The sequence below is a fragment of the Homo sapiens genome, chromosome 4 (assembly GCF_000001405.40).
Source record: "Homo sapiens chromosome 4, GRCh38.p14 Primary Assembly".
NCBI classification, from domain to species: Eukaryota; Metazoa; Chordata; class Mammalia; order Primates; family Hominidae; genus Homo; species Homo sapiens.
The window spans coordinates 84,412,384-84,418,768 of record NC_000004.12 but is presented as its reverse complement, the minus strand read 5'-3'; the positions used below and the strand labels follow the sequence as shown (position 1 = coordinate 84,418,768).

Here is a 6,385-nt window from a genome sequence, read left to right as displayed (position 1 = left end):
CGATGGTATTTATGTACCTGTGGAAGGAAAAGTGAGGGAGAAACTAGGGCTGTGTTTATAGACATAAGGGAGACAGGAAGAGAGCAAAATTGTCAGCCTGAGAAGTCTGTGACCTGGAACAAAAAAGCATAATTGGCTAAGTAAATCCACATAATTAAATTAAATATGAATAGCCACTGATTGAGAATTGCACCATGGACAGAATACGCTTGCTGTTAATGACCCACGATTTATTTACACCTTAAACACCGTGTTTCCTTACTGCTCTAAAGTAGTAAAATTGCCTTCTTCCTGGTGAAATTTATTGCCATTTAAACATGCCAAAAGGCCATTCTGGCAGTCATTACAATAATCTATCATTTCTGCAACTGCTGGTATCCTGTTCTGTGGTCAAATTCAATCTGAGAAGGGTCAACAGAATTTTTTCCACCAAATGCTTCCCTCTTGACTATCATCAATTTACTTTTGTCAACAAAAAGGGCATTACTAGGGAATGAAATAGAAGATCCCCTTAAGACCTCTGGCAAACAGCATGAGCTGCCCTGCCCCACTCTTCAGCCTGAGTCTGCCTTTGTGCATGTGACTGCACAGTGGGGCCATGTCATGCAGAAGCACGGGCAGGAACCCTGCCACCTGCCTGTTGTTCTCTCCAGCGACAAAAAAAAAAAAAAAAAAGGCACATTGACAGTAGCTTACACTCTAGTTTCTGGTGTCCAGTGGGACTGGCATTTTCTTTGAAGGAGGAACTTTTTGGGTTTAGAGATTAATTGTTGCCATAGTTTGTTGCATTGCTATTCTCCTCTCTTCCTTTCTGCATCCCCTAATACCTCTTTTTTTTTTAATCTTTTATTCTATGACACTTCTTATTCAACTTTCAGATCACACAATTCCAACTGCTGTTCACAGTAGGAGATGCTTGCTCTGTAGCATAGAAAGAAAAGAAAATGTCCTTTGGCATTGAAAGGTAAGCTTTCATATTATCTCTGCTCAGGAAAAATGGTGTGGAAAATTAAAGGAAAAAAATACAGTTAATTCAGGTTTCCACCAGTAAATTTTTGGACAAACTTAGAGAACAGTGATATTTCTTTTTATGAGAGTGAGGAGAAGGACTTGAATAGCTGGAACCTTTTCTGTATTGTCTCTCTCGGTTAATATTTGAGGACACAGCCTCATCCCAGGTTTCTTCTTTTGAGGTCAGTTGTTGCCTCGTCTGTGGATAGGAGGCAGCAGCAAGGCAAAACAAGGGACTCCCTCTACATTACAACTAACTAATGGTGACTGCATCACCCCTCGGCCCATCACCTGTTCACAGAGAATTTTGGTTTTGTTGACATAGGCTGGCAATGGATTATAATTTATAATCAACAGATTTAATTGTGAATGGTCAGACTGCAAACTTGAGAATTACATAGTGTTTCTAGTGGATTTTTTGGGGGGAGGAGTGAAAACAAAAATTACATTTCTTTCTAGGTTTTATAATTTTATTTTTATAGTTAATGTCTATTTCACCTAGAATACATTATGGTATAAATTGCAAGGTTTCCAGTTAATAAGCAAGTTGTCCTAAATGTTTTCTGTTGCTAAAAATTAAGTTTTTAATTATATATAAAGACTTCAATGAGCAGACAGCTATTCTTCTTTGGCTTTTGGACACCTATTTTGGCATAATTCACCCTTTGTTAGGTTTTAGTTTGTATGTAGTTTAGGTCTACTTTTGACTTTGCGTATTGTGTGGGCAAATTCGTAAATTGAGTTTATCTAGATGTGCCCAAGTAAAGTCTCGTTTTAAGTGAAGTGAAACAACAAAATTATGAGTAGTCTGTAGATTGGAGTAAATTAAACTTAATGAGGCAATTTACAATAGCATCTCATACAAATGTACAGATATTTATGCACATTTGGATGCTCTTATAATTTAAAACAATGATGCCAATCTCCCAGCCTTATAGAAAGCATTTTTTTCTTATTGCAAAAAGATACATATTTATTGTAGAAAAAAATAGAAAATACAAAGAAGAAAAAAATTACTAATCCTACAACATAGAGCTAATCATTGTTATAATAATATCCAGGTGTGCATAATTCTATTATATTACATGTATTTTGTATTTTTATACATATGAAAAAAGAAAACTATGTATGTACACTTTGGGTTTTATACAAGATGTTCATAGGACTATTCACGATAGCAAACTCCTGCAGGCAATTTGAATATCTCTCAAGGTAAACTGTAGTTCTTTCATACAATGGAATGTTATGTAGCAGCAAAAATGAATAAACTAAATAAAGCTGCACACAAAAAATATGTAAATTTTACCAATATAATTTGCAGCAAAAAGCAAGCCCCCAAAGATTACATATAGCATGATTCTCTTTTTATCGTGGTTAAAAACTAAAAATATGTGTACCTACTGTTTAGAAATACAAATAGAGGTATAATAATAGAAATTGGAGGGTTCACTACAAAGGTGGGAGTCACAGTGGAGTCATTGCCTGATGTCTACATTTGGGGAATCAAGGTCCAAAAACTGCATACACGACTTTTCTGTTCCAATTCACATCTCTGCTTCCAGGCTTTTGGTATCTCAGTTTTGGCACTGTTGTCATACTAGGCCAGATAATCCTTTGTTGTAGGGTACTGTCCTGTGCATTGTAGAATGTTTAGCACAGTTGTAGCCTAGATTCAGTAGCACCCTCCCCACAAGTTGTGATAAGTATGAATGTCTTTAGACATTGCCCAATGCCTCTTTGTAGGCAAAATTGACCCCCATTTAGAACCACTATGTTAGGAAAATGCAGATTGATTGTCGTTGACTCAAAAAGAACATAAATGGTAAAGTGGATCTTGTTTGAAAAATTCGATGTCTTTAAAATGTAGAAAATTCGATGTCTTTAAATCTCCACTTGGGATTATTTATACTACCAAATACTACAAAATTTAGCTCCCATTTGGTTGATTTTTGGTGTTGGGGAAGCCCACTGAAATAACATAGCACAGCCCACTGAAATGACCTGGAACAGAAGTGGATTTTGCTGTTTTATTAAAAAGTCCTTTGTAAAACTCACTGACATATTTTTGTTGGCTCCTACAGAACTCTATTCTGCAACATCATTGATTCTCTAAGCAGTATAGGAACTTCTGGTAGTGAACCCATCCTGCTGGGTGACCTCAGGGAAGCCACTGCGCTTCATCAATCCCACATGAGAGAAAAAAGAGCAGCCATAACAATTAAACTGGCTAGCCTAGAAGACCTCCTGAAGAAAGGTCTGTGTGAAGACAAACTTGTAATATTTATTGTGATTGTCGGCCCCCCAGGTGCCTTTTGAAGAATTCTGTCTGATTTACCAATCAGGCAGCTGCCCCATGGATATGCATGAAGTGAGACGCAAGGACTGGGGGTGGGGTGGGGATGGCGAGCGTGACCAGGTTGACGGCAGTGCTCCAAAGGTGACCTCATATTTACCGCCAGATGTTCAAACCATTTCTAAATATTGTACAGTCTTGGTGTGCCATTTTCTCTTCTTGCTAAACTTTGGGAAGCAAGCAAGACTTCAGAATTTTAATGCTCACTTTAGCCTGTGAAAGACACGGTAATGTTCAAAAGTAGCTTGACCTTTTCATTGTTCATTGCTGATTGGTTGACTGACCATTCCTATTCTCTATTCCAACTGCTTCAGCAAACTCCTTGTCTCCTTCCCTCTTAGTACCAGGTACATAATTCTACTGAGGTCCTGGCTTTTTTCTAGTACATTTATTTGCTAAGATCTTGTTCATCTTAATGTAGCTCAGGATTATTTTTTTTTTCAAGGTGGGAAAAAAATGATGGAATGAAAGCTTAGCAGAAAAATCAAAATCAATGAATGCCAGTGTCAAGAATTGCCCTTTCAGCAACCAAAAGGAACTGTGTGATAGGCTAGCTTATATCAGAAATTGAGCATTGTCCTCACCTTCAAATAGGACGGGCCATTAAAATGTCTTTGAGGAAGAACACTTTGATTCCAACTAATTCCAGACAAGAAGGGGGTATACAGAATAAAAACAATACCCCTTTCAAATATTTTCTTTGCTGTTATCATCAGTAGCTCTAGCTACATACCTAGTTACTTAAGAAATTCTTTTAGTCTCAATTTATCAAAATAATTTCCTTGATGATTAGATTTCCTATCTATCCTGGCTAGAAATTCCCACCATTAGAATCATTCTTACACATTAAGATAGGAATATTTACCCTAGATGCCATTACTGGAATAAACATGTGTTGTCAGGAAAAGATAGAAGAATTAGGGAGGAGAAAAGGACAAATCATCTTCCATGAAAACACCTTCAAAAAATTAGCATTAAGTAGTTGACCCAACTAACCATTTCAACATTGAAAGCAAAGAATAAGGTCTGGGGTATAGGATAAAGGAAAAACAAACTTTAAATAAACCTTCCTTGTCTGATATTAACTCTAAGAATGTGACATTGAATCCATTGGCTACAGCAGGCTTTGTCTGTTCTCAAACCATCTGTATTTCTTGGCTATAGAATAAGACACACTCATGAAAAGAAGCTGGGGTATTGAATCTATCACTGAAGTAGTGACAACGCTGTCAGCTTTAACTAGACAGAGGGAGCAATCTTTTAGTATGATCTTCACTACTTACAGATAAAGTAATCACTAAACACATGTTAGATGACACAAAGATGTCTGTTCAATGACACTTTCCTGAAAATGAAGAGCAGAGGCTCACCAGGCAATATGAAACACATGAACCAATAAGAATGGAGGCTTTTCTTCCCCCATGTTAGGTACTCTATCCTGACACTTCACAAGTAGACTCATCTATAAAGGGATTAACTAAGAAATAATTGCATGCAGCTTGCACCCTGCTGAGCTATCTTATGCATACTTATCAAGGATCCTTTTGAAGTGGGCAGAGATCTACTAGGTGCTTTACAAGCAATTAAAGTCATAATAAAGAAGTCCATTTGGAATGACACTAATAAAAAACAGTCTATTTTTCTTTTTGCATTTTAGATGGAATAAAGACTGCTTTAGACTGTGAGTTCTGAGGAGGCAGGGAGGGACTGAGTCTGCCCTCTTCATGCTGTCTTCCCAGCACTTAGCATGTGCATATTAAAATTTGTAGGATGAGTGAATTAATGAAGGAATACTTGCATTATATGCAAGTAGACAGAAAAGAGAAAAAAAGAGAGAATACTCTTTTTTTTTTTTTTTGAGACAGTCTCACTTTGTAATCTAGGCTGGAGTGTTGTGGCACAATCTTGTCTCATTGCAGCCTCTGTCTCCCAGGTGCAAGTGATTCTTGTGCCTCAACCTGTGAGCAGCTGGTATTACAGGTATGCGCCTCCATGCCTGGTTAATTTTTGTATCTTTAGTAGAGATGGGGTTTTGCCATGTTAGGCAGGCTGGTCTTGAATTCCTGGCCTCAACTGATCTGTCTGCTTCAGCCTCCCAAAGCGCCGGGATTATAAGTGTGAGCCACAGTGCCTGGCCTATATCAGTTTTTATATGCAATATTATTGATAAAGGGAAAGACAGTCAAGATGTGAATTTCTCTATAATAATTGCTAACACTTAATATTTACTATGTTACAAGGACTGTTTTATACGTATGAACACATTTAATCCTTCAACAACCATATGCATAGGCACTATTTTAATACCATTTACCTATAAAGGGGTTGAAGCTTAGAGAGGTAACTTGCCCAAGACTATGCAGGTGGAACCAGAATTTGTACTCAGGTCTAACCAATTTAGAGAATCCACTACACTTCTGGAGTGAAATTTAGTAGCTTACTGAATTAGTTCTAGATCTCAGGATTCCATTGATCTAGTGAGGTGCAAACCATTCTTGAAATTTGATCACATCCTATCTTCTTCTTCTTTTCTTTCTTCTTCTTGTTTTATTCCTCTTCCCCTTTTTTCTTACCTTCTTGCCTTCCTCTACCCCACAGTGGCAGACCTGATTTGGTTCCATCACTCATTGTCTTTTCCTGTTTCTCTTAGTCTGTGTTTCTTCATCTGAGAAATGCAGTAGTATTTCAGAGGGTTATTGTGATGATGAAATGACATGATATATTAAGTGCTACCATAATACTTGGTCACATTGGAAAAATTCAGCAAAATATTTAGTTCTTCCCTTTCTCCTCTATGTTCTTTCTCGGAAAATGATGACCAAGCCACGATGTCAGAGAGTAGGGCAACAAGAAGGAATATAAGATGAAACAAGAAGTCTGGGTGTAGTTCCACCTGGACAAGTCTTGTGTATTCAGTGTCACTAGGTTGCTTTCTTTTGAGGAGTTTAAAATCACTTTGCATTCAGGAAGGAGCATCTTTTTTGATCAAGCTCCACATGATGTCCCATTTTAGTTTCTCAA

General features: G+C 37.4%; 1 annotated feature.

Annotated features, from left to right (window-relative positions):
• Positions 4,557-5,164: an enhancer, noted in NCBI's record as "NANOG hESC enhancer chr4:85334758-85335365 (GRCh37/hg19 assembly coordinates)". NCBI's record gives its function as "activates a minimal SCP1, AML or CMV promoter by ChIP-STARR-seq in naive H9 embryonic stem cells {active_cell/tissue: H9 hESC(naive)}" and the evidence as "EXISTENCE:reporter gene assay evidence [ECO:0000049][PMID:30033119]".